Below are 25,266 nucleotides of genomic sequence, written 5' to 3' on the forward strand. Positions count from 1 at the left end.
TTCCCCCGCTGGCTGGGGCTGGACGCCCTCATCTAAGCTCATCCCGGTTGGCTAAGACTTAAAACTGTCTCCAAATCGGGTAAAGGCAAGATTTGCGAGAAGAGGAGGGCTAGGGGGAAGAAGGGGGTAGGGTTGATTGACAACTTATGACCTGGAAGTTGAGTTTTGTAAGAGGAATTTGGTTGTCTCAACAATTTACTCCTTTTCTGTTTTATACTTCTTCCTCTTCAAATTTATTTATTTATTTTGTTTGAGACAGAGTCTCGCTCTGTCGCCCAGGCTGGAGTGCGGTGGCACCATTTCGGCTCACTGCAAGCTCGGCCTCCCGGGTTCACACCATTCTCCTGCCTCAGCCTCCCGAGTAGCTGGGACTACAGGCGCCCACCGCTACGCCCGCCTAATTTTGTGTATTTTTAGTAGAGATGGGGGGGTTTCACCGTGTTGGCCAGGATGGTCTCGATCTCCTGACCTCGTGATCTGCCCACCTCGGCCTCCCAAAGTGCTGGGATTACAGGCGTGAGCCACGGCGCCCGGCCTAGTTTTCTTTTTTTTTTTTTTTTTTGAGACGGAGTCTCGCTCTGTTGCCCAGGCTGGAGTGCAGTGGCGCAATCTCGGCTCACTGCAACCTCCGCCTCCTGGGTTCAAGCGATTCTCATGTCTCAGCCTCCTGAGTAGCTGGGATTACAGGCACGTGCCACCAAACCCAGCTTATTTTTGTATTTTGGTAGAGATGGGGTTTGACCACGTTGGCCAGGATGGTCTCGAACTCCTGACCTCGTGATCCACCCACCTCGGCCTCCCAAAGTGCTGGGATTACAGGCATGAGCCACCGTGCCCGGCCTTCAAATTTCTTTAACAGGATTTGGCTTTGTTGTTCTTCTTGATCGTCTAGGAACAAGAGCTTATCGGAATACAGAGCAGGAGAGGTAGGGGAGGTTTTTGTGAGAGCTGCTTCTGTGAGTCTTTGGGTTAACCCGCGAATACAAAGGTATGACACAGCAGCCCACAGGATGAGTCCTCCTGTAGCAATTGCGAGGGAGGTAAAGATTGAGGTCAGCCCGGGCGCGGTGGCTCACGCCTGTCATCCCAGCACTTCGGGAGGCCAAGGCGGGTGGATCACAAGGTCAGGAGTTTGAGACCAGCCTGGCCAACATGGTGAAACCCCGTCTACTAAAAATACAAAAAAATTAGCCGGGCGTGGTGGCAGGTGCGTGTAATCCCAGCTACTTGGGAGGCCGAGGCGGGAGAATCACTTGAACCCAGGAGGCGGAGGTTGCAGTGAGCCAAGATCATGCCATTGCACTCCAGCCTGGGCGACAGAACGAGACTGTGTCTCAAAAAATAAAAATAAAAATGAAGAAAAGAACAAAAAAAAGATTGATGTTATGAGTCCCTTCCATTTTCCAAACCACCTTTCCATCAGTCCCATCAAGGGGCCATCTATTCCAGAGTTTATGGCTAATTCATTTGTTAGGTCGGTAAGGCCCTGTCAGGCTTTCGAGATGGTCCCATCAGGGCCTGTATTATCTGGGATCGAAGTAACGATGCGCTTTATTTATTTATTTATTTTTTTGAAACGGAGTTTCGCTCTTGTAGCCCAGGCTGGAGTGCAATGGCGTGATCTTGGCTCACTGCAACCTCCGCCTCCCAGGTTCAAGCAATTCTCCTGCCTCAGCCTCCCAAGTAGCTGAGATTACAGGCGCCCGCCACCACGCCCGGCTAATTTTTTGTATTTTTAGTAGAGACGGGGTTTCACCATGTTAGCCGGGATTGTCTCGATCTCCTGACCTCGTGATCCTCCTGCCTCGGCCTCCCGAAGTGCTAGGATGACAGGCGTGAGCCACCACGCCCGGCCGGTTTGTGACTATTTTCTCTAACTTTACCTAATGTTTCCCTTTAATATTTCTGCCACCATCCTGAGCGAATTTCAACAGGGAATGGCACCCCAGGGTACCGGTTACTACAAGGGCTGGGCCAAGGATTTTCTTCAGAAGAGGCTGTCTTTGGCTGTGGATATCTTTACGGGGTATATGAACCAGACAGGCATCAAACGAAACTAGCTGGGGAAAGGGTGATCACCTTATATTGATAATAAGACGTCCTTGGGCGGCTACAGGGAGAAGGAAGAGACAGATTAAACCTTTTTGAATGTTAATTTGGAAGGCGTTGATCCTGGAGTGAAGGTCCAAGATCCCTCCAGGGATGGGGCCCTTTCCGACCGTCATCTTGGTGGTCAGGAGCACCCGATAAAGTCCTTCCCAGGTTGGCTGAGTTTTTCCTCTTTCCAACTTCTGACAAGGAGGTGATCCCCAGGCTGGTGTCGGTGAACTGGGAATTCGAGGGGTGGAGGCCTTGGGTCCGGAGGGAGGAAAGGGTGGAAGACAAACCACACATATAGTTTTTGAGAAACTGATCTTTTGTTTCAAATGTAGGAAGGTCAGTAGTGGAAGTCAGATAAGGTAGCCCATAGAGCATCTCATAAGGGAACAGGCCAAGATCTTTCCGAGGGGCAGTTCGCATTCTTTTTTTTTTTTTGAAACGGAGTCTCGCTCTGTCGCCCAGGCTGGAGTGCGGTGGGCGTGATCTCGGCTCACTGCAACCTCCACCTCCCAGGTTCAAGCAATTCTCCTGCCTCAGCCTCCCAAGTAGCCGGGATTACAAGCGGGCGCCACGACGCCTGGCTAATTTTTTTGTATTTTTAGTAGAGACGGGGTTTCACCATGCTGCCCGGGCTGGTCTCAAACTCCTGAGCTCAGGCGGTCCACCCGCCTCAGCCTCCCAAAGTGCTGGGATTACAGGCGTGAACCACCACGCCCGGCCTGTTCAGATTCTTAGTAAGGCAAAGGGAAGGCATTCTGTGCGTGGTAACCAGGTTTCCAAGATTAATTCGGTTAGGTGGTTTTTTTAGAGTTTGATTCATTCTTTCTACCCTCCCTGATGAGGGTGGATGCCAGGGAAATATTCCCATTTCATTCCTAGTGCTGGGGTTAGCCCCGTAATGATGTGTGCAGTGAAGGGGGTCCCCTTGTCCGAATCCACGTTCTCTATTAGTGCAAACCTGGGTGTGACGTGTTCCCACAGGCCTCTGACTACATTGCTGGCTGTTGCGCTCGGGAAGGGGGTGGCCTCTACCCAGTGGGTGAGATGGTTGACTGTTCCCAGTAAATGTTTGAGGTGGGCTATTGGGGGCATTTCAGTGTAGTCAACCCAAACACTTTGGAACGGCCTCAACCCTGGGTTTCTTCCCTGGGAGGTTGCCTCTTTTTTTTGAGATGGAGTCTTGTTCTGTCACCCAGGCTGGAGTGCAGTGGGACCATCTCGGCTCACTGCAAGCTCTGCCTCCTGGGTTGATGCCATTCTCCTACCTCAGCCGCCCGAGTAGCTGGGACTACAGGTGCCCACCACACCTGGCTAATTTTTTTTGTATTTTTAGTAGAGACGGGGTTTCACCGTGTTAGCCAGGAGGGTCTCGATCTCCTGACCTCGTGATCCGCCCGCCTCGGCCTCCCAAAGTGCTGGGATTACAGGCGTGAGCCACCGCGCCCAGCCTGGAATGGCCTCAACCCTGGGTTTCTTCCCCGGGAGGTTGCCTCTTTAGGGTTTGCTTATTAGCTTTTCTGCACACGATGCAACCATCCACATTTGCCTAGCGAGGGTCTCTATCCCACACACCCACAGACTCCAAGGGTCTCTATCCCACACACCCACAGACTCCAAGGGTCTCTATCCCACACACCCACAGACTCCGAGGGTCTCTATCCCACACACCCACAGACTCCGAGGGTCTCTATCCCCACACACCCACAGACTCCGAGGGTCTCTATCCCCACACACCCACAGACTCCGAGGGTCTCTATCCCACACACCCACAGACTCCGAGGGTCTCTATCCCCACACACCCACAGACTCCGAGGGTCTCTATCCCACACACCCACAGACTCCGAGGGTCTCTATCCCCACACACCCACAGACTCCGAGGGTCTCTATCCCACACACCCACAGACTCCGAGGGTCTCTATCCCACACACCCACAGACTCCGAGGGTCTCTATCCCACACACCCACAGACTCCGAGGGTCTCTATCCCACACACCCACAGACTCCGAGGGTCTCTATCCCACACACCCACAGACTCCGAGGGCATATATCCCACACACCCACAGACTCCGAGGGTCTCTATCCCCACACACCCACAGACTCCGAGGGTCTCTATCCCACACACCCACAGACTCCGAGGGTCTCTATCCCACACACCCACAGACTCTGAGGGCATATATCCCACACACCCACAGACTCCGAGGGTCTCTATCCCCACACACCCACAGACTCCGAGGGTCTCTATCCCACACACCCACAGACTCCGAGGGCCTCTATCCCACACACCCACAGACTCCGAGGGCATATATCCCACACACCCACAGACTCCGAGGGTCTCTATCCCACACACCCACAGACTCCGAGGGTCTCTATCCCACACACCCACAGACTCCGAGGGTCTCTATCCCACACACCCACAGACTCCGAGGGTCTCTATCCCACACACCCACAGACTCCGAGGGTCTCTATCGCACACACCCACAGACTCCGAGGGTCTCTATCCCCACACACCCACAGACTCCGAGGGTCTCTATCCCACACACCCACAGACTCCGAGGGTCTCTATCCCACACACCCACAGACTCCGAGGGTCTCTATCCCACACACCCACAGACTCCGAGGGTCTCTATCCCACACACCCACAGACTCCGAGGGTCTCTATCCCCACACACCCACAGACTCCGAGGGTCTCTATCGCACACACCCACAGACTTCGAGGGTCTCTATCCCACACACCCACAGACTCCGAGGGTCTCTATCCCACACACCCACAGACTCCGAGGGTCTCTATCCCACACACCCACAGACTCCGAGGGTCTCTATCCCCACACACCCACAGACTCCGAGGGTCTCTATCGCACACACCCACAGACTTCGAGGGTCTCTATCCCACACACCCACAGACTCCGAGGGTCTCTATCCCCACACACCCACAGACTCCGAGGGTCTCTATCCCACACACCCACAGACTCCGAGGGTCTCTATCCCACACACCCACAGACTCCGAGGGTCTCTATCCCCACACACCCACAGACTCCGAGGGTCTCTATCCCCACACACCCACAGACTCCGAGGGTCTCTATCCCACACACCCACAGACTCCGAGGGTCTCTATCCCACACACCCACAGACTCCGAGGGTCTATATCCCACACACCCACAGACTCCGAGGGTCTCTATCCCCACACACCCACAGACTCCGAGGCTGCATTGCACGTAGCTTGGGGACCCGAGTGAGCTCCTTGATGAAGCTCTGACAGTATTTCCCTCATGAGGGGTTTAGACAGCATTTCCCTTCAATCCTACTTGAAGGGAAATCCCTACAGAGGGAAAGTGGTACCTACTTTCCCTCTGGGTTCTCCTGAGCTCCTATATCCCTCCCACCCTCCCTTCCTTCCTGATGGAGTCTCGCTCTGTCGCCCAGGCTGGAGTGCAGTGGCGCGATCAAGGCTCACTGCAACCTCCGCCTCCCGGGTTCAAGCAACTCTCCTGCCTCAGCCTCCCGAGTAGCTGGGACTACAGGCACCCGCCACCACACCCAGCTGATTTTTGTACTTTTAGTAGAGACGGGGTTTCACCAGTGTTGGCCAGGATGGTCTCAATCTCCTGACCTCGTGGTCACTCACCTCGGCCTCCCAAAGTGCTGGGATTACAGGCGTGAACCACCACGCCCGGCAACAGGAGGATTTTTATTAAGGTGGTCACCGGCTCACTGGATTCGCATCCAAAGACTGAGCGTGGGGCCGGGCGCAGTGGCTCACGCCTGTAATCCCAGCACTTTGGGAGGCCGAGGCGGGCGGATCACGAGGTCAGGAGATCGAGACCGTCCTGGCTAACACGGTGAAACCCTGTCTCTACTAAAAATACAAAAAATTAGCCGGGTGTGGTGGTGGGCACCTGTAGTCCCAGCTACTCAGAGAGGCTGAGGCAGGAGAATGGCGTGAACCCGGGAGGCGGAGCTTGCAGTGAGCCGAGATCGCGCCACCGCACTCCAGCCTGGGCGACAGAGTGAGAATCCGTCTCAAAAAAAAAAAAAAAAAGACTGAGCGTGGAACAAAGGGCTTGACTTTGAAGCGTGCAGCGGCGTGAAACTTGCAGTGCGGGAAAGTGAATTTACAGACGCAGGACAGAGGCAGTTAATCGTACAGTGACAGGTTTCGTAACCTCAGCCGAGCTTGTGAGCTTGCGGCCGCATTGAGAAAGAACAGGAGCTTACAAAACTGGCAGAGTATTTTACGGGGAGCGGGAAACGGAAGGAGGAGTCTGGTTCTTATCTTTGCACGGGGGGAGTGCAGTGCTGGGAGGCGTCTGGGCGGCATTCCTTGGGGTTCTGGCTTTTTAAATGGTGTTTTCAAGGCCTTGCCTGGGGGCTTTGCCTGTTGCTGGCTTTGGGGCGAGTCAGCTTTATACGAAAAAGGTATTTTCCGTTTCTTCAATTTCCGCTTTATTCCCTCCTTGATGCTTTTTATAAATAAGGTTTAATAGAAAGCATCACTATTTTTTATTTACTTCTACAGGGGGAAGTAGCTCTTTTCCTGGCAGGGGTGGACACGTAGTTATGGGATGAGCTCGGTGGTACTCGGCCTGTCCACACGAGCGTCTCTGGCTTTGTCGATATTCTTGACAAGGAGGGGAAGAGACAAGAGTACGAGGCGGACTCCCAGTATGGCCAGAACTACTCCTAGTAAGGTTTTAAATCCCCCGAGGGATGAAAACCAACCACGGGGGGGCGGGGGGAACCTGGAGACCATTCCGGTTTCCAGGTTTGTGTTGGAACATGAGCTAAGTCTCGCATTCTCGCAATTAATTCATGACGTCCTCCTCATTGTCATCGATTTTTAGGCAACAATTAGTTAAATTAAACTCTCCGCATATCCCTCCTTCTGACATAGATCTAGCGAGAGCAGCAAGAACAAAGGGAAGAGTAGCATGTTTGTACCTAGGATGGACAAGAGATGTTTGCCCAGAGGAGGGGGTTGAGCAAAGCGACAGGTTAATAGTAAAACAATTAAGATGACAAGGAAAATTACTGGGCTTAAGATTTCTAACTACATTTACTTCCTTGACGAAGCTTCGGCCGTGCGTAGACTGGTCAGCTTCCGGGGTGACTAGAGCAGGGCTGTGGTCACTTTCACTGGCATCTGGGTCCTGTCGTAGGATCAGCCGGTTTGGATGGTCTGGGTCTTGCTGGCTGGTCCACTTGTCCTGGGCTGCTGGTTTCAGCCGACTGTGGAGATCGAAGGCACAGTTCCTGAAACATTAACAGCAGTGGGAGTGGACAGGATCGCAGTCTAGGCCCATCCCATCTGGGTCCCAAAGTGGTTGGATTCTATTTCTTTTTTTTTTTTTTTGAGACGAAGTATCACTCTTGTCCCCCAGGCTAGAGTGCAGTGGCGCGATCTCCGGTCACTGCAACGTCCGCCTCCCGAGTTCAAGCGATTCTCCTGCCTCAGCCTCCTGAATAGCTGGGATGACAGGGGCACACCACCACGCCCCGCTAATTTTGTATTTTTAGTAGAGACAGGGTTTCTTCATGTTGGTCAGGCTGCTCAAACTCCCAACCTCAGGTGATCCGCCTGCCTCGGCCTCCCAAAGTGCTGGGATTACAGGCGTGAGTCACTGCGCCCGGCCGATCTTCTTTCAATATACTTTCCAGTTTCTTGGGCAAACTAAGCTTTTTTGTTTGGAGAATAACGTGGGACCTCTGGGAGGGGAGGCTCCGGGAGGAGAGGCACAGCCAGGGCTTCCTCTTTAGAATGTGGTGTCCTTATTACTGCCCGTTTTGCCTCCTCGTCTGCCTTTGTTTCCTTTGGCCTCCAGTGTTCCTGCCTTTTGTGCACCCTGCAACGCAGAACAGCTACGTCTTTGGGGCCCACACGGCATCCTGGAGCTGTAAAATTTCTTTTTTTTTTTTTTTTTTTCATATGGAGTTTCTCTCTTGTTGCCCAGGCTGGAGTGCAATGGCACGATCTCGGCTCACCGCAACCTCCGCCTCCCAGGTTCAAGCGATTCTCCTGCCTCAGCCTCCCTAGTAGCTGGGATTATAGGCACCTGCCACCGCGCCCGGCTAATTCTGTATTTTTAGTAGAGATGGGGTTTCTCCATGTTGGTCAGGCTGGTCTCCAACTCCTGACCTCAGGTGATCCGCCTGCCTTAGCCTCCCAAAGTGCTGGGATTACAGGCCTGAGCCACCACGCCCGGCCTAGGAGCTGTAAAATTTCTTCTTTGTATTTTATTTCTTTGCCCCCAGCAGTTAAAAGTTCTCTTTCTTGGCTGGGCGTGGTGGCTCATGCCTGTAATCCCATCACTTTGGGAGGTGGAGGCAGGCGGATCACTTGAGGTCAGGAGTTCAAGACCAGCCTGGCCAACAAGGTGAAACCCCGTCTCTACTAAAAGTACAAAAATTAGCCAGGCGTGGTGGCGCGTGCCTGTAGTCCCAGCTACTCAGGAGGCTGAGGCAGGACAATCGCTTGAACCTGGCAGGTGGAGGTTGCAGTGAGCCGAGATCGCACCACTGCACTCCAGCCTGGGCAAAAGAGTGAGACTCCATCTCAAAAAAGAAAAAAAAAGTTCCTCTATGGGATGGTCTTTCCAATTTTCTTTTTTCTTTCTTTCTTTTTTTTTTGAGACGGAGTCTCGCTCTGTCGCCCAGGCTGGAGCGCAGTGGTGCGATCTCGGCTCACTGCAAGCTCCGCCTCCTGGGTTGAGGCCATTCTCCTGCCTCAGGCTCCCGAGTAGCTGGGACTACAGGCGCCCCCACCACGCCCGGCTAATTTTTTTGTATTTTAGTAGAGATGGGGTTTCACCGTGTTAGCCAGGATGGTCTGGATCTCCTGACCTCATGATCCGCCCACCTCAGCCTCCCAAAGTGCTGGGATTACAGGCGTGAGCCGGCAGCTGCATATTTTCTTATCTGTTTATTAAGTCTGTTTAAGAATTCCACGGGCCTGGCCAGGCGCGGTGGCTCACGCCTGTAATCCCAGCACTTTGGGAGGCCGACGTGGGCAGATCACAAGGTCAGGAGATCGAGACCATCTTGGCCAACATGGTGAAACCCTGTCTCCACTAAAATACAAAAAATTAGCCAGGCGTGGTGGCGGGCGCCTGTAATCCCAGCTACTTGGGAGGCTGAGGCAGGAGAATCGCTTGAACCCGGGAGGCGGAGGTTGGAGTGAGCTGAGATCGCGCCACTGAACTCCAGCCTGGGCGACAGAGCGAGACTCTGTCTCCAAAAAAAACCCCATGGGCCCTTCATGTTTCCTCTGTTGTACGTTAAATGCTCGGGAAGTATTTTGGGTTTGCAGATCTGATTCCCGAATCCTTGTAATTATCCCATCTCCGAGATCGCTCATGTTTTTTAGGTCACATTGTCATCCCACCCAGGATCTTGGGCCAGGAATTTACGCTCCGCTGAAAGGACGTTCTGACCGGGGGGTGTTCACGCTCCCAGACTAACACAGCGGCCTGTGAATCATGGTTCTCTCTCTCCTGAGACGAGAGTACTGAGGGTAGACATTAATTCAGCCCAAGCGTACAGCTGTGGCCCCAGAAATTGGTCAATTTGATCCGCGAATCCAAAAGGGTCATCTAACAGTGGTTTGAGTTCTTTTAGATTTCTAACCTCTGAACTGGTTAAAGGGGGCATTTACGAAGTCAATATCCCTTCCTCCCGGTGGTCCTTCCCTAAAGGGGAAAAGGGCTGAGGCAGGTCTTTTTGAGCAGGAGGCAAAAGGAAAGTTCTGTGGGTTTTTGTTTGTTTGTTTGTTTTTTGAGACGGAGTCTCGCTCTTGTTGCCGAGGCTGGAGTGCGGTGGCGCGATCTCGGCTCACTGCAAGCTCCACCTCCCGGGTTCAAGACATTCCCTGCCTCAGCCTCCCGAGTAGCTGAGTAGCTGGAATTACAGGCGCCCGCCACCACGTCCGGCTAATTTTCGTATTTTTAGTAGAGGCGAGGTTTCATCATCGTGGCCAGGCTGCCAGTCCTGAACTCCTGGCCTCGTGATCCACCCGCCTCTGCCTCCCAAAGTGCTGGAATTACAGGCGTGAGCCACCGCGCCCGGCCGAAAGTTTCGAATATCCCTTTGGCATTGTTCTGTTTCCCGTTGGAGCTTTCCTGAGGAAGGGGCATGTTCTAGTGGCTGTCCAGCGGGGATGTGGGTGGCAAGGTCCAGGTGGTTCTATAGGGGAGGGATGGAGGGGCGGAGGAGCGGGTGGGGGAGGGGCGGAGGGGCGAGGGGTGGGTGGGAGGGGCGGAGGGGCGGGTTGGGGAGGGGCGGAGGGGTGGGGTGGGTGGGTGGGGGGGGCGGAGGGGTGGGTTGGGAGGGGCGGAGGGGGTGGGTTGGGAGGGGCGGAGGGGGTGGGTTGGGAGGGGCGGAGGGGGTGGGTTGGGAGGGGCGGAGGGGGTGGGTTGGGAGGGGCGGAGGGGTGAGTGGGGGAAGGTGGTCTAGAGGATCCCACCCTTCTTTAGATATGGGGCGTCTCTGCTAAAAATACAAAAATTAGCCGGGCGTGGTGGTGCGCGCCTGTAATCCCAGCTACTCAGGAGGCTGAGGCAGGAGAATCGCTTGAACCCGGGAGGCGGAGGTTGCAGAGAGTCGAGATCGCGCCGCTGCACTCCAGCCTGGGTGACACAGCGAGACTCCAACACACACACACACAAAAGATATGGCGCGTCTCATTCATTCACAAGTTCCTCTTCAAAGGTTTGGCTCGTTCAGCGCCCTCGTTCTTCGTTTCCTACTTCCAAGGCCAACCTGACTTCCTCACCCTCTGGGCCTCCCCGTCTGAGTCTCAGTAAACAAGTTTCCCGCCGGTCCTGATCTGCAGAGATGGCACCTGCCACCCACTCTGCACATCCCCCTCCCGTCGCCACGGGCTCTTCCCGCCAGTGTAGCCACATTCCTGCCCCTTTCCAGTTAGCCCTTCGCGTTCGGCTTAGTCTGCGGTCCTCTTGCATTGCGACTCCGAGTTTAACTTCCAACACACACTTTCAACCTCCAAGAGACGCCCCCACCTGTGTCGCCCCAATAGCGACTTTTCTCACCGTGGTCGCCGCGGAACTTCAAGGGTCCTTCCTACCCGCGTTGCTGAGAGTCTGGGTTTACGCGTCACCTCGGGCGGGACCCGATCCTCCGCTCCTGAGGCCCCCACAATGAAGCAGTCGGACGCGTCTCCCCAAGAAAGGTAACCGCCAGCCTCTCCTGAAACAGAATGGGATCCAAATGGGATATTTGGGGGCGGCGAGTCGGTCCCGCAAAGAGAAACCAGCACTTAGAAAATTTCTCAGCGAGACCACTTTACTTGTACGGAAGGGGGCTGCCTGCGTGGGATGCAATCTCCAGAGCACACGGGACAAAGGAAGGGAGCTTCTGTTCCTCTGTCCTTTCCCTGTTGGCTGGGGTTGGACGCCCACAATCTAAGCTGATCCCGGTTGGCTAAAACTTAAAACTTTTTTAAAATAGGGTAAACGCGCCACCTGCGAGGAAAGAAGAAGGGGGTAAGGTTGATTGACAACTTTAGACCTGGAAGTTGAGTTTCTGAAGAGGAACTTACTTGTCCCAACCAAATGGTGCACAGGACGTTTATACTAAGAAATTATTCATTTTCTGAGATCCAGATTCAAGTGCCCTTTAAGTATTTTTATTTGGGCGGAGGAGGTCACTTCCTCCCACCTAATTTATTAATACGTTCATATATATATATATATATGTACATTTTTAAAGGCAGAGATGTGCGTCTCGCCATGTTGCCGCGTCTGGTCTCGAGCTCCCGGGCTCAAGCGATCTTCCCGCCTCGACCTCCCAAGGCTCTGGGAGTACAGACGTGAGCCACAGCGGCCGGCCCGTGTTTAACTCAGATAAAATCTGGGTAACACACTTTCAACGCTTCAACCCCCTCGGGCGCACCGCTCTGCGCTCATTGCAACTTTGAAAGCAGGAAGGAAGAAATGCGCAGGCTCCAGCCGCGTCCCCGCAGGCCCCACTCCCGTTTCCTAGCAACGCCGGGTCACGTGCGCCGCCGCCCGGATTCCGTAGCGTGAGCCTGCCGGAGCCGGCGCGTACATGCGAGCGTGTGCGCGCGTGCGCAGGCGGGGCGACCGGCGTCCCCGGCGCTCGCCCCGCCCCCGAGATGACGCCGTGCGTGCGCGCGCCCGGTCCGCGCCTCCGCCGCTTTTTATAGCGGCCGCGGGCGGCGGCGGCAGCGGTTGGAGGTTGTAGGACCGGCGAGGAATAGGAATCATGGCGGCTGCGCTGTTCGTGCTGCTGGGATTCGCGCTGCTGGGCACCCACGGAGCCTCCGGGGCTGGTGAGGAGCGGGTAGGGGGCGGGGGTGCGGTCCTGCAGGGGCCGGGAATGGAGGCCGCGGTGCCGACCCGAAGCCGACGGGAGCCTGGGGCCTCGGCGCGGGGCGGCCTGGGGTGCGAAAGGCCGGCCCCGGGGGCTTCCCGCGCCAGCATGGAGCTTGGGGGTGAAGTCCCAGGGTTTGAGGGGGGACTAGAGGTTCCTCCCGGCGCGGCCTGCCGGGCTCCCCCGGGCGCTCCGGCCTCGAGCCCGGCCTCTGTGTGTGGGCGTGAAGCTCCCTGCTTGGAGGCGGGAGCCAGGGGGTCCTGGCCAGGCCGGTCTTGGTCAGGGGAGGTGGGCGTCTTGCTTTTCGGTCACCTGGGGTTGGGGGTGACCTGCTTCCTGGGTGAGGGCGTCTGCGAAGGCGGTTGGAGGTGGCCCGCCCGCCGGTCCCATCGGCCAGGAGAAGGGAGACCCAAAGCCTGGGTGAGCGTCCCCTTTGGCCTGGAGCCAGGGGTCAGGGGCTGGTTGGTGCCTGCCCAACCCGTCCTGCTGGGGCTGGACTCCGCAGGACCTGGGGAAAGCGGCCTGGGCGTGGAATCTGGAGACGGGTCCACCCTGCCTGCGAGTGTTAGGGTCAGAGACCCTCCCCTGAGACTCTCTGGGGCCCCCGCAAGGGCCCGTGCGGCCTGGAGCGATCATCTTGGCGCTCCCTTCTGGAAAAGGGGCTTTTGTCCTCCAAGAGCACATGGAGGCTCTGAGTGGGTCAGCCCTCCGGATCGGGAAGGGATTACCGTTCTTCACGGGATTTAGCCCTGGCGTCTTGCCTAGGGCGTGCACCTGCCCCCGGGTGTTCTCCCAGACTCTTAAGACCTCGCAGGCTCCCTCGAGGGGCCCTGCGTGGAAGGGAAGGCGGAATCTCCCTCTGATTCTGCCTGGATTCAGCACCCAGAATGAGGTGGTCTCTGAACGCCCCTCCTCCTTTACAGGCGAGGAAACAGCCCTGTGGGAAGTCGAGGTTCCAAGGTCACAGTGAGGGGGCCCTGGCCACCCGATTCAGCGCAGGAAATAGTGAGAAAGTCGTTTTTAGCCGACTCTGACCCGCATTCGGTTTCCAGTGCTGTCTTAGGAGGGCCGTGTGTTGAGGGTGGGCAAACGTGGTTTGGAGAGCGCATTTGGGAAATGGATTGAGGTGTGTTTTTCCGGGAGAAAAGCATGACATCCTTTCTTGCTTCATAGAAAATTTCTTCCTTTGTTGAGACCCCCATTTGGTTCTGGGTTAAAGATTTATAGTGAGGCCGGGCGTGGTGGCTCACACCTGTAATCCCAGCACTTTGGGAGGCTGAGGCGGGTGGATCACCTGAGGTCAGGAGTTCAAGACCAGCCTGGCCAACATGGTGAAACCCCATCTCTACTAAAAATACAAAAATTAGCTGGGCGTGTTGGCGCACGCCTGTAATCCCAGCCACTCAGGAAGCTGAGGCAAGAGAATCGCTTGAACCTGGGAGGTGAAGGTTGCAGTGAGCTGATATCATGCCACTGCACTCCAGCCTGGGTAACAGGGAGACTCTGTCTTTAAAAAAAAAAAAAAAAGAGGTCGGGCATGGTGGCTCACGCCTGTAATCCCAGCACTTTGGGAGGCCGAGGCGGGCGGATCACGAGGTCAAGAGATCAAGACCATCGTGGCTAACACGGTGAAACCCCGTCTCTACTAAAAATACAAAAAATTAGCCTGGCGTGGTGGCGGGCGCCTGTAGTCCCAGCTGCTAGGGAGTCTGAGGCAGGAGAATGGTGTGAACCAGGGAGGCGGAGCTTGCAGTGAGCCGAGATCGCGCCATTGCACTCCAGCCTGGGCGACAGAGCGAGACCCCGTCTCAAAAAAAAACAAAAAAAAAATTTATTGTGACCGATGTGTTGGGAACAAGGTGCAGAGCTGGAGGGTCTGGCCTCCTGAAGGGTCAAGAGCAAGGGCTTCGAGCCTCTGTCCTGGGCATTGAGCCGTAGGGGGCCTTGGGCAGAGGCTGGGGAGGGGGCTCCTTCTTCCAGAGGCTTTGCCAGCTAACTCCTGACCTACGTCTGAGATTTCGTCTTCCTGGTAACCAAAGTGGCCCTTTATCGAATGTCTCCTGGGCAAGGGCCTGGCCCCAGCACTGCGGCCAGCTCTCTGGGGAGACACAGATAGGAGCCCATGGGTGAGGTGAGCGCGGAAGATAAGCCGCCCCCGCCAGCCCTGTGGAAACCCAGCCAGGCCTGACTGGGTTTCAAGCACAGCACGAGGTTCCCACATTGAGCTAATTTGGACAGCCAAGTGGGTGAAAGACCTTTGGTCTCTCCCTGCTGGGTAGGGTGGTTCACAGTTTTGTTCCTTTTGTGCATTTGTGCAGGAGACTGAGAAGGGTTTCTTCTGAGCAGAAAGCTTAGCCTGGGGCTTACTGGCCAGAGCTGCCTGCAGCCTGGGAAGCAGGTGGAGTCTGCAGTGCTGGCAGCGCCGCCGTGCAGCGGTGTAGCCGTGTGTGCGCGTGTGTGTGTGTGGTGAGAAACCCCACTTTTGCTGGGGACTGACTCGTGAAGACCACAAGGTCTGGGCAACACAGCCTTGGCCCGTGTGGGGTGGACACTGCTGTTTGCTCTGTGAATTCGTGACTGTGTTTGCCTCTCCTGAAACTTGCTTCAGGGGCGTCTGCGGGTTGGTGGGGCACAGCCGGGTGGGGTGAGTGCCCAAGGTTGGCCGTCCGCGTCTCCTGTGGGCTTGTCGGGGACCGGAGGGCCGGGGTGTGCTAGCTGGGTCCCGAGGGTGGAGGGCTTCACCCCCGAGCCTCAGATGAGAGGAGTGGGAGTGCCTGGCTGCGGCCGGTGGGGGTGGGTGGGGGAGGTGCCCGAGGCTGCTTCCCAGAGCTGTTCTCGCTGGCTGCTGTCTGAGCACTGGGGTGGGTGGGGAGGAGGGCGGGTGGGGGCGGGCAGCCTTATCCTGCGGGGCTGCTTGTGTACAAGTACCACGCGGCCTGCCTGGCCCTGAGCCCTGGGCAAGGAGGCGGAGGCTGTTTTTAGATGAAGGTGACTTTACTTGAGAACATGGGTTACGTCTCATGTGGCCAGAATCGAATTCTAACCTTTCTGGGGCTGTGGCCGAGGGTCAGGCGCCGTCCCTCCTCCTGCTGCTCATGGGTGGAGGCTCCTGGTGCGGCGGGCGAGATGGGGTGGTCCGTGGGGTGGGGGCGCTCTGCATTGTCCCCGAGGAGCCTCTATGGAGGCTTTCTCTTCCGGACGCCCCCCCACCCCCAGTGACACGTCAATACACAGACACCAGCATCATCAGCATCCGGAGGGACACAGGGTTGTTCCATCCAAAGCCTTTTGGTCCCTTTGGGAGCGATGCTGCCCGCTGAGAAGCTGGCGGACCCAGCGGGAGCACCGGGACCGGTGCAGATGGCGCCTGGGAGCCCGGGACTCCTGGAAAGGTGGCTGGGGGCAGCTCGGCTGCGGGCCCCACCTGGTCCTCCTCACTTTCCTGTGTGCCCTGCCCTGCCTGGAGGTGGGGTGAGGTGAGTCAGGGGCCAGCCCTCTCCTAGCACCCCTGGGTGAGGAGGATGTGGAGCCCAGCCCTGCAGGTCTGGAGGATGAGGAGAGGGGCTGCTGCAGGGCAGGAAGGAGCTTGCCAGCTGGGCAGCCTCTGGCTGTGCTTCCTGCCCTGACTCACCTCGCCCAGCTCTGCACATAGCTGCCAGTGTTGCAGTCTGGGAAATCTTAACTCCCAAGAAATGTAGGTTACCAGGAGGAGATCCCTTTGTGAAAATGGCACTGCCAGCCAGGCGCGGTGGCTCACGCCTGTAATCCCAGCACTTTGGGAGGCCCAAGAGGGTGGATCACGAGGTCAGGGGTTCAATACCAGCCTGGCCAAAATGGTGAAACCCCGTCTCTACTAAAAATACAAAATATTAGCTGAGTGTGGTGGCAGGCACCTGTAATCCCAGCTACTTGGGAGGCTGAGGCAGGAGAATTGCTTGAACCCGGGAGGCAGAGGTTGCGGTGAGCTGAGATTACACCACTGCTGAACAGAGTGAGACTCTGTCTCAAAAAAAAAAAAAAGAAGAAGAGGAGAAAGAAAATGGCGCTGCCAAAACTTGTCAACTGCGCCTGCCCAGAGCTCACCTGAGGTGCTCAGACGTGAACATTCCTGTCCCCGTGGCCTTGGGGGCCGTGACCTGTGCACTGCCACGCAGCCTCGGAGCCGTGTGCACGCATATGCACGTGTGTATGTGTTGTGTGTGTTTGCAGACGTGTGTCCTTGTGTGTGTGTGTGTGTTGTAGCGGTGCCTGGGGAGTCTGACCTCAGAAGGTGCTGTGGGGAGGGCTGCAAGGTCCTGGCGGGAGGAGGCACTCCCCACGCTTCCCCTTGGGCTGGGCTGTTCCTGGCAGGCGAGTGCTAGGCACAGTGTGAGGTTCTGTGTGGATTCTGCTGTGCTCCTTGGCAGCTCTGGGGGCCTTCCCTTGCATTTCGAAGGAAGGGGAGGCGTGTGGCTGGAGGTGAGAGGCCCTGAGGCCCTGCCTGGCTCCCAGCTTCCCAAATCCGCCTCTCTCTGGGTCGCCGCCCTCAGAGATTGCTGAGGACACGAGCTTTCCACCCACGGGCTGTCCTAACGGAGCCGGGCTAGGGGCTTCTGGACAGAGGCCGCCTGCCCCTTTGGGCTTTGGGGTTTGTTTTTCTCAGCAGCTCACCCGGGTCTCTGGGGTCAGGGTATCGGGCAGAAGTCAGAGGACGGTGCGCTTGGGACCTGAGCTCTGGGCAGCCCTCGGGGCTCAGGACTCCTGGCTCTTCTGCCCAGTTTCATGTGTTTTGTGTTTTGAAACCACGTGTGGTCCCACAGTTGTGCCCTCAGAAGCCGCCGTGGCTGCCGTGAGGTAGCAGTGGACGGGACGCCCACGGTCTTTCCCATGCCATGCTGTTTCCAGCCGGGCCCCATCACTCTCCCACAAGCTGAAAGGAAGTGGCTTCTCCACCAGCCCTGGCTGGGAGTCCTGTGGGCGAGGCCTTCCCCAGGAGCTGCCCTCCCAAGTGCCCCAGGCACTAACAAGACCCCACGCGTGCTCTCCCCACAGCCGGCTTCGTCCAGGCGCCGCTGTCCCAGCAGAGGTGGGTGGGGGGCAGTGTGGAGCTGCACTGCGAGGCCGTGGGCAGCCCGGTGCCCGAGATCCAGTGGTGGTTTGAAGGGCAGGGTCCCAACGACACCTGCTCCCAGCTCTGGGACGGCGCCCGGCTGGACCGCGTCCACATCCACGCCACCTACCACCAGCACGCGGCCAGCACCATCTCCATCGACACGCTCGTGGAGGAGGACACGGGCACTTACGAGTGCCGGGCCAGCAACGACCCGGATCGCAACCACCTGACCCGGGCGCCCAGGGTCAAGTGGGTCCGCGCCCAGGCAGTCGTGCTAGTCCTGGAACGTGAGTGGCGGGCACCTCCCTCCCCGCCTCCCTCAGTTTCCCTCCTGTGCCGCTCGCCTCCCGGCTCCTGCTCAGTAGAACCCAGACGCCTCCTCCCCTCTCCGTCCCGCTGTGCCCCGTTGGGCCCACCGCCTGGACGGAGGGGCCCGGACCTGAAGGGGGTGGGCTCGCCGCCTGACCACCAGCGCTGGGCGGCCTGGCTCGGGGCAGGCAGGGCTCTGCCCTCCAGCAGGTGGGTCCTCGTCCTCCCCTCGACCCTCGTGCCATCCGTTCCGTCGTTTCTGCTTCCCCGGGCGCCTGCCCGGCTCCCTCCCTGAGCGTCCATACTGCAAGCCTGAGGGGCCCTCCAAGCTCAGCCCAGGCTTGCAGGTCTCAGAACCTTCTGTGTCCTTCGCAGCATCTCGTTCTAAGGGATTTTCAAATTTCAATTCCTAGCGGGAATATTGTAAACTAACCAAGAACCAAGAGATTTGCTTGGTTGGGGATTGGCAGAAGAACCGGGGTGCTCCCAGCACTGCTGGAGTGCCGTCAGCCTGGGGCTGGGGGGATGTGGGGCCACCTGAGTGCCTCCTAGAGAAGGGCACGGGAGCCTTGGCCGGGGGTGCTGTGGCTATTTTTTTTTTTTTTCCTGGAGATGGAGTCTTGCTGTTCCCAGGTGGAGTGTGGTGGCACAATCTCGGCTCACTGCAACTTCCGCCTCCCGGGTTCAAGCGATTCTTCTGCCTCAGCCTCCTGAGTAGCTGGGATTACAGGCATGAGCCAACATGCCCAGCTAATTTTTTGTATTTTTAGAAGAGACGGGGTTTCACCGTGTTAGCCAGGATGGTCTCGATCTCCCGACCTCGAGATCCACCCGCCTTGGCCTCCCAAAGTGCTGGGATTACAGGCGTGAGCCTCCGCGCCCGGCCACCACCGCGCCCAGCTGGCTACGTTTTTAGAAAAGAATTTCCAGTTTGTGCTGGGGCTGCTACAAGAGCTCGATGCCCTGGTCCCTGCTCAGGGACGTGGGTGGGTGCCTTGTCTGTCCCCACACCCTGGTCCCAGCCTCGTGTGTCTCTGGGCAGGAACATCGCCAGGCGGGGCCTCTGGGTTCCCAGCGCCTTAGCCCAGGGCCCGCCAGCTGCCAGCGAAGGGTGCCTTCCCGAAGGGGGTGCCTTCCCGAAGGGGCCTCCTCAGCAGGCGCTGGGCTCTTCCCTTCCCGGAGGCGTGGCCAGAAGTTCCCCTTGGGCCTCCGGTCCTCGGGGCGTAAGGGCCACGGTGTATTTTTGGGATGAAAACCAGTCCTTCCCGGGGAGGAGCCGCAGGTTCCTGGGGGTCAGGCAGGCAGCGCGGGCCGTGCTCCTCCACTCTGCTGACCGCGTCTCGCCGGGCCTTGCAGCCGGCACAGTCTTCACTACCGTAGAAGACCTTGGCTCCAAGATACTCCTCACCTGCTCCTTGAATGACAGCGCCACAGAGGTCACAGGGCACCGCTGGCTGAAGGGGGGCGTGGTGCTGAAGGAGGACGCGCTGCCCGGCCAGAAAACGGAGTTCAAGTGAGTGCCTGACCACGCCATGCCGCCACCTGCCCCTTCTCACGGCTCTCTTGCCGCCAGCGGCCTGTGGTCCGTGAGAACAAAAGACCGGTCGGCAGGCTTGATCCAGGCGGAAGTTAGGGACCAGCTCCGCGCAGACCCCCAGAGGGAAACCCCAGGGAGGGGTCTGAGGGGCGTCCTTGTGAGGCAGGGGGCTCCAGCAGCCCTGGCAGGAGTCCCCATTGCTTGCTCCTCACTAGGTCCCGGGCACGAAAGGGCGCCACACTGCCAGGTCCCGGGCACGTGTGCGGGCCTCCCAGGCTCTGTGCTCCTGGCACAAGAGGGCACCACACTGAGGCATGCCCTGCTCGGACCCCAGACGCTGTCATGGCCGGAGCTTTGTCATAACTGGGGCTGGGACGGCCCTGGGAGCACAGAGCCTTTTGTTTTCAGGCTGACTGGGAAGACGGTCACAGGGTGTGGGGTGCAGAGCAGGGACCAGAGGTGTGGGGTTCATCAGTCGGGGAGAAGGGGGTCTGTTGGTTCTCTCACCTGTGGGGTCTTGCCAGCCTGGCTCTGTCCTTGGGGCCGCACGGGGACCCCAGGAGTTCTTTTGAGGTTCAGACTTGACTGGGACAGTTTTGCTTTTTCACTGTGCCGTGGTTGGGCCCCTGGAGAACCCTGGGTCCTTGGAGGCGTCCTGCAGAGCTGGTACGCGGCTCACCTGCCTGCTGTGGTTGCAGGGTGGACTCCGACGACCAGTGGGGAGAGTACTCCTGCGTCTTCCTCCCCGAGCCCATGGGCACGGCCAACATCCAGCTCCACGGTGAGTCCTGCAGCCAGGGGTACCGGGCACCACCGACTGTCGGGAGAAGTTGTTGGCCTGAGGCACCCGGCACATCCCAGAGCCCTGGCCCCCTGCTCCCTGGAGGGGAACAGCCCTCCTGCGGGAGGCCGGGGATGGGGGCGGGCCTGCGGTTCCAGGCTCCTCTCTCTCACCCTCCTGTCAGGGCCTCCCAGAGTGAAGGCTGTGAAGTCGTCAGAACACATCAACGAGGGGGAGACGGCCATGCTGGTCTGCAAGTCAGAGTCCGTGCCACCTGTCACTGACTGGGCCTGGTACAAGATCACTGACTCTGAGGACAAGGTGAGAAGCCAAGGAGGCTGGGGGTCCTGGACCCAGCCCTCAGGACTGGGTGAGAGGCCTAGACTGGGGGTCCCGGACCCAGCCCTCAGGACTGGGTGAGGGGCCTAGACTGGGGGTCCCGGACCCAGCCCTCAGGACTGGGTGAGGGGCCTAGACTGGGGGTCCCGGACCCAGCCCTCCGGACTGGGTGAGGGGCCTAGACTGGGGGTCCCGGACCCAGCCCTCCGGACTGGGTGAGGGGCCTAGACTGGGGGTCCCGGACCCAGCCCTCTGGACTGCAGCCCTCCAGACTGGGTGAGGGGCCTAGACTGGGGGTCCCGGACCCAGCCCTCAGGACTGGGTGAGGGGCCTAGACTGGGGGTCCCGGACCCAGCCCTCCGGACTGGGTGAGGGGCCTAGACTGGGGGTCCCGGACTCAGCCCTCCGGACTGGGTGAGGGGCCTAGACTGGGGGTCCCGGACTCAGCCCTCAGGACTGGGTGAGGGGCCTAGACTGGGGGTCCTGGACTCAGCCCTTGCCTTTGGTCCCCTAGGCCCTCATGAACGGCTCCGAGAGCAGGTTCTTCGTGAGTTCCTCGCAGGGCCGGTCAGAGCTACACATTGAGAACCTGAACATGGAGGCCGACCCCGGCCAGTACCGGTGCAACGGCACCAGCTCCAAGGGCTCCGACCAGGCCATCATCACGCTCCGCGTGCGCAGCCACCTGGCCGCCCTCTGGCCCTTCCTGGGCATCGTGGCTGAGGTGCTGGTGCTGGTCACCATCATCTTCATCTACGAGAAGCGCCGGAAGCCCGAGGACGTCCTGGATGGTGAGCCGTCTGCCCTCCTGCCCACATGCCCTGCTCTCGGGGTGGCCCAGGGCCACTCCTGGTCCGTCCCTGCCAGCCCCACCGCTGACCCAGAGCTTGGAACTGAGGAGCCCCAGGCAGGGAGTTGATGGGACCCCGAAAGAAAGTGTGGGATGGAGGGTCTAGCCCCGGGCAGCTGCGGCTCAGTGGGCAGCGGGACCCCGGGAGGAGGAGGCGGCACCTCCGCCCCACAGCCTCACCCGGCCCTTCCCTCCCGCTCACTTGGCTGCAAGCCAGTGTCCTCCGTGGTGAGCCGGCCCTTGCTGCTCTGCATGATCAGGCTCGGGAACCTGAGGTCAGCCATGCTGTGCTCCGGCAGCCCCTGCCTGCCTCCTCGCGGAGCCCTTCTGCCCCTTGGGCTGCGTGTGCCGGGGCGAGGCCTGTGTGGGGCCTGTGATGGCAGCTCCTGGAAAACGCTGTGGGGCAGGGGTGAGGCCCACGAGGCCATGGGGACAGCTCACCATGGGGAGCACACCTGCAGGTGGGGAGGGCTGCCTTTCCCCACAGCACTCAGAAGATGCACGTGGCCGGGGCTGATGAGCTGCCCCGAGCCACCCCTGGGGGTCACTGAGGGCAGGGCTGGCAGCACAGATGCCCCTGCTCGGGGCCTGAGTGGGGCCAGTGCTGACAGGCTGTCCTCTCGTCCTCTTTTTCATGGCGGCGGTCCTTCTTCAGATGACGACGCCGGCTCTGCACCCCTGTAAGTTCCAGCTGTGGGGGTCGGGGGTCCCAAGGAGCGGCCTGCTGCCCCAGGCCTTTAAAACACAAAGGCAGAGCCCCTGGGCTTCAGTATTCGGGGGTCCTGGGGGCCGGGGTGGGCAGGGGTGACTTGGAGAGAGTGACTTGCGGGGGACACCCTCTCACCCGGCCCCTCGTGCCCCAGGAAGAGCAGCGGGCAGCACCAGAATGACAAAGGCAAGAACGTCCGCCAGAGGAACTCTTCCTGAGGCAGGTGCGGTGGGCGGGAGCTCCTCCTGAGCCAGGTGTGGTGGGTGGGTGGGCGGGAACTCCTGAGCCAGGTGTGGTGGGCGGGATCTGCTAGCCAGGTGTGGGCTCCTGGGTCCCGCCTGTGGGTCGCTGGGAGGTGGGTCCAGTCTGAGCGCCCCTCCCTGTCCACAGGTGGCCCGAGGACGCTCCCTGCTCCACGTCTGCGCCGCCGCCGGAGTCCACTCCCAGTGCTTGCAAGATTCCAAGTTCTCACCTCTTAAAGAAAACCCACCCCGTAGATTCCCATCATACACTTCCTTCTTTTTTAAAAAAGTTGGGTTTTCTCCATTCAGGATTCTGTTCCTTAGGTTTTTTTCCTTCTGAAGTGTTTCACGAGAGCCCGGGAGCTGCTGCCCTGCGGCCCCGTCTGTGGCTTTCAGCCTCTGGGTCTGAGTCATGGCCGGGTGGGCGGCACAGCCTTCTCCACTGGCCGGAGTCAGTGCCAGGTCCTTGCCCTTTGTGGAAAGTCACAGGTCACACGAGGGGCCCCGTGTCCTGCCTGTCTGAAGCCAATGCTGTCTGGTTGCGCCATTTTTGTGCTTTTATGTTTAATTTTATGAGGGCCACGGGTCTGTGTTCGACTCAGCCTCAGGGACGACTCTGACCTCTTGGCCACAGAGGACTCACTTGCCCACACCGAGGGCGACCCCGTCACAGCCTCAAGTCACTCCCAAGCCCCCTCCTTGTCTGTGCATCCGGGGGCAGCTCTGGAGGGGGTTTGCTGGGGAACTGGCGCCATCGCCGGGACTCCAGAACCGCAGAAGCCTCCCCAGCTCACCCCTGGAGGACGGCCGGCTCTCTATAGCACCAGGGCTCACGTGGGAACCCCCCTCCCACCCACCGCCACAATAAAGATCGCCCCCACCTCCACCCTCACCCTCTCCTGGCTCCTGTCTGTGCCTGACGGGGTTGGGTTTTCCGAGAGCAGGTGCACCCTGGGCTCTGGTGGTCACAGCAGGGGTGCGTCCAGTACTGGGATTTCACATGCGAGGACGGGTCTGCTGAGACCGCAGTGGGTGTTGGGTGGCTCGGGGCATGGGCTGGACAGGGCCTGAGGCTGTCAGCCGGACTGGGAACTTGGAAGGTGGCTGGGGCCGACCCCGTGCCTCAGAGCCACACAGAAGAGAGTGGGCACTGACCTGAGCCTTCTCTGAGCCTGTTACTCCTCTCGGCATGTTTTGGGCCTGACAAAGGCTGAGGCTTTCTGCTGCCTGCCCTGCAGCTGCCTGCACCCACCCACCTGGGCGGGCTGCTTGGGCAAGGTTCAGGGGTGGTCCTGGCTGCTCCTGGAGAGTGGGTGTGTGAAGCTGGTGCCCAGAGGCTGAGGGATGCCCAGCCCCTGCCCGCCCAGCACACGGAACAGATGTGGTTGCAGGGCTGGAGAGCTTGGGGGACCAGGAGCTTAGAGCGTGGAGGTTGCAAGTTGCAGGACCAGTAACTGGGTCTGGAGGGAGGTTTGCAGCGGCTGTGTCAGCCCTGCAGGCCGAGTGTGGCACTGGGCCTTCTGCTGGTCTGAGCGGGGGTCTCAGGGTGGAGGTCAGCAAAAGAGGCTTAGTGGGGGCTTAGGGAGCCTGGGTGGGTTCCCAGAGAAGCTAGGAATCAGATGGGAAGATGGGAAGGCAGTGTGTTTCCGTGTTGGGCAAATCCAGCGTTTTCATGCCACGGAAGCCAAGAAAGGGCTCACGGCCTCCGGCCTCACAGGGCTACGCAAAGGGGGAGTTGAATAAACACGGTGACGGGCCCCGGGCGGCAGCTGCTCCCGGCACTGATCCTGCTGGGCCAGCGGTGGACTTGCAGGGCCCACATCCGGAGCTGCCCACTGGTCCTCGTGCTGCACAGCCTTGGAGGATCTGAGGCTGGCTCAGGGTCCCTGGCAGCAACTGCCCTGCTAGGTGGGGGCTGCTGGGTTCCACAGCTGGGCCCTCCCTGCCGGCTGCCACCAGGCGGCGCTGCACGCCCACGCTGAGTGGGGCAGGCCCTGGAGCCCCTCTGCCCGGGCAGCCTGACGGCCCCTCCTCCTCGGCTGAGACCGCAGAGTCCCAGGCATCACCCACTGAAAGTGTGCTCAGTGACCTGTGAATAGGGATGCCACGTCTGCGTGCAGACATTGATTAGGCGCCTGTGGTATACCTGGAGCTGGAGGGTGTGCGTGGACAACAGGCAGAAAGGTCCAGTGGGATGGAGGCTGCCAACAGGACGATGGGGAAGGGGCGCGTTGGGGACATCGCCGGGCACGCGGCCCAGGTGGGCCCCTGGCTCAGGTCTCCCCCCACCTCCCTGCCTGGGCTCTGTCCATCTTTCTGCCGCACCCTCAGCCCCAGGTGTGGGCCCACCGTGCTTGTGGACGCCTCATGCTCTGTACCGGGTGGGAGGTGTGGGAGTTACAGGTCAGGGCAGCCTTGGGAGACGGGCAGGTTTCCTGGGGTGCTTACCGGCAGATGGGGCGCCTGGGTCCGTGCAGGGTCGTCCGCCCGAGAAAGCAGCCCCTCACCCCTGGGCACTAACTTCATCTTTTTTCTTTGCACACAGAAACGTAAACCTGATTCACAAAAGTATAACCACTCAGCATGTAGCTTTGTACACCTGCCCTCAGCATTTAGTGTCCTCGTTCATCCAACAAGCATCTAATAAGCACTGGGGTACGCAGTGGTGGGTGTCCGCCCCGTCACTGGGTGTCCAGCGTGGGGTGCGGAGGTGGATGTCCACCCCGTCGGTGGGTGCCCGGCGCGGAGGGGTGCGGAGGTGGATGTCCGCCCCGTCGGTGGGTGCCCGGCGCGGAGGGGTGCGGAGGTGGATGTCCGCCCCGTCGGTGGGTGCCCGGCGCGGAGGGGTGCGGAGGTGGATGTCCGCCCCGTCGGTGGGTGCCCAGCCCGATGTCCACCCCGTCCCTGGGTGCTCTTGGTGGCAACTCGCTGAAGCCTGCCTCGGTTTCCCCAGAGGTGAGATGGGGA

General features: G+C 59.1%; 1 protein-coding gene and 1 long non-coding RNA gene across 7 annotated transcripts, besides 7 other annotated features; one reads left to right on the plus strand and one right to left on the minus strand.

The window, feature by feature from the left end:
* BSG-AS1 (BSG antisense RNA 1) lies at positions 6,232-11,946 on the minus strand. Of its 2 annotated transcripts, none has more exons than NR_184018.1 (3): positions 11,807-11,946; positions 11,138-11,294; positions 6,232-7,322 (listed from the first exon to the last, which is right to left on the minus strand). It is a non-coding gene; the product is annotated as a BSG antisense RNA 1 (long non-coding RNA). The 2 variants fall into 2 exon arrangements; NR_184019.1 differs by lacking the exon at positions 11,807-11,946 and adding an exon at positions 11,395-11,452.
* Positions 10,542-11,114: an enhancer, noted in NCBI's record as "H3K4me1 hESC enhancer chr19:570844-571416 (GRCh37/hg19 assembly coordinates)". NCBI's record gives its function as "activates a minimal SCP1, AML or CMV promoter by ChIP-STARR-seq in primed H9 embryonic stem cells {active_cell/tissue: H9 hESC(primed)}" and the evidence as "EXISTENCE:reporter gene assay evidence [ECO:0000049][PMID:30033119]".
* Positions 10,981-23,191, plus strand: BSG (basigin (Ok blood group)). Of its 5 annotated transcripts, NM_001728.4 has the most exons (9): positions 12,294-12,399; positions 17,472-17,819; positions 19,198-19,354; positions 20,077-20,159; positions 20,344-20,480; positions 21,013-21,289; positions 22,004-22,028; positions 22,212-22,280; positions 22,448-23,191. In NM_001728.4, the coding sequence occupies exons 1-8, from the start codon at positions 12,333-12,335 to the stop codon at positions 22,273-22,275; spliced, it is 1,158 nt and encodes a 385-aa protein (NP_001719.2). In that variant the 5' UTR covers positions 12,294-12,332; the 3' UTR covers positions 22,276-22,280; positions 22,448-23,191. The 5 variants fall into 5 exon arrangements, with proteins under 5 accessions (NP_940992.1, NP_940993.2, NP_001719.2 ...); NM_198590.3 differs by lacking the exons at positions 12,294-12,399; positions 17,472-17,819 and adding an exon at positions 10,981-11,277; NM_198589.3 differs by lacking the exon at positions 17,472-17,819.
* Positions 11,195-11,244: an enhancer, noted in NCBI's record as "active region_13564". NCBI's record gives its function as "activates an Ori minimal core promoter by ATAC-STARR-seq in GM12878 lymphoblastoid cells {active_cell/tissue: GM12878}" and the evidence as "EXISTENCE:reporter gene assay evidence [ECO:0000049][PMID:35858748]".
* Positions 12,065-12,284: a silencer, noted in NCBI's record as "silent region_9606". NCBI's record gives its function as "represses an Ori minimal core promoter by ATAC-STARR-seq in GM12878 lymphoblastoid cells {active_cell/tissue: GM12878}" and the evidence as "EXISTENCE:reporter gene assay evidence [ECO:0000049][PMID:35858748]".
* Positions 12,455-12,634: a silencer, noted in NCBI's record as "silent region_9607". NCBI's record gives its function as "represses an Ori minimal core promoter by ATAC-STARR-seq in GM12878 lymphoblastoid cells {active_cell/tissue: GM12878}" and the evidence as "EXISTENCE:reporter gene assay evidence [ECO:0000049][PMID:35858748]".
* Positions 23,075-23,637: an enhancer, noted in NCBI's record as "H3K27ac-H3K4me1 hESC enhancer chr19:583377-583939 (GRCh37/hg19 assembly coordinates)". NCBI's record gives its function as "activates a minimal SCP1, AML or CMV promoter by ChIP-STARR-seq in naive H9 embryonic stem cells {active_cell/tissue: H9 hESC(naive)}" and the evidence as "EXISTENCE:reporter gene assay evidence [ECO:0000049][PMID:30033119]".
* Positions 23,638-24,199: an enhancer, noted in NCBI's record as "H3K27ac-H3K4me1 hESC enhancer chr19:583940-584501 (GRCh37/hg19 assembly coordinates)". NCBI's record gives its function as "activates a minimal SCP1, AML or CMV promoter by ChIP-STARR-seq in naive H9 embryonic stem cells {active_cell/tissue: H9 hESC(naive)}" and the evidence as "EXISTENCE:reporter gene assay evidence [ECO:0000049][PMID:30033119]".
* Positions 24,172-24,441: a silencer, noted in NCBI's record as "silent region_9608". NCBI's record gives its function as "represses an Ori minimal core promoter by ATAC-STARR-seq in GM12878 lymphoblastoid cells {active_cell/tissue: GM12878}" and the evidence as "EXISTENCE:reporter gene assay evidence [ECO:0000049][PMID:35858748]".

The sequence above is a fragment of the Homo sapiens genome, chromosome 19 (genome assembly GCF_000001405.40).
Source record: "Homo sapiens chromosome 19, GRCh38.p14 Primary Assembly".
Classification (NCBI taxonomy): domain Eukaryota; kingdom Metazoa; phylum Chordata; class Mammalia; order Primates; family Hominidae; genus Homo; species Homo sapiens.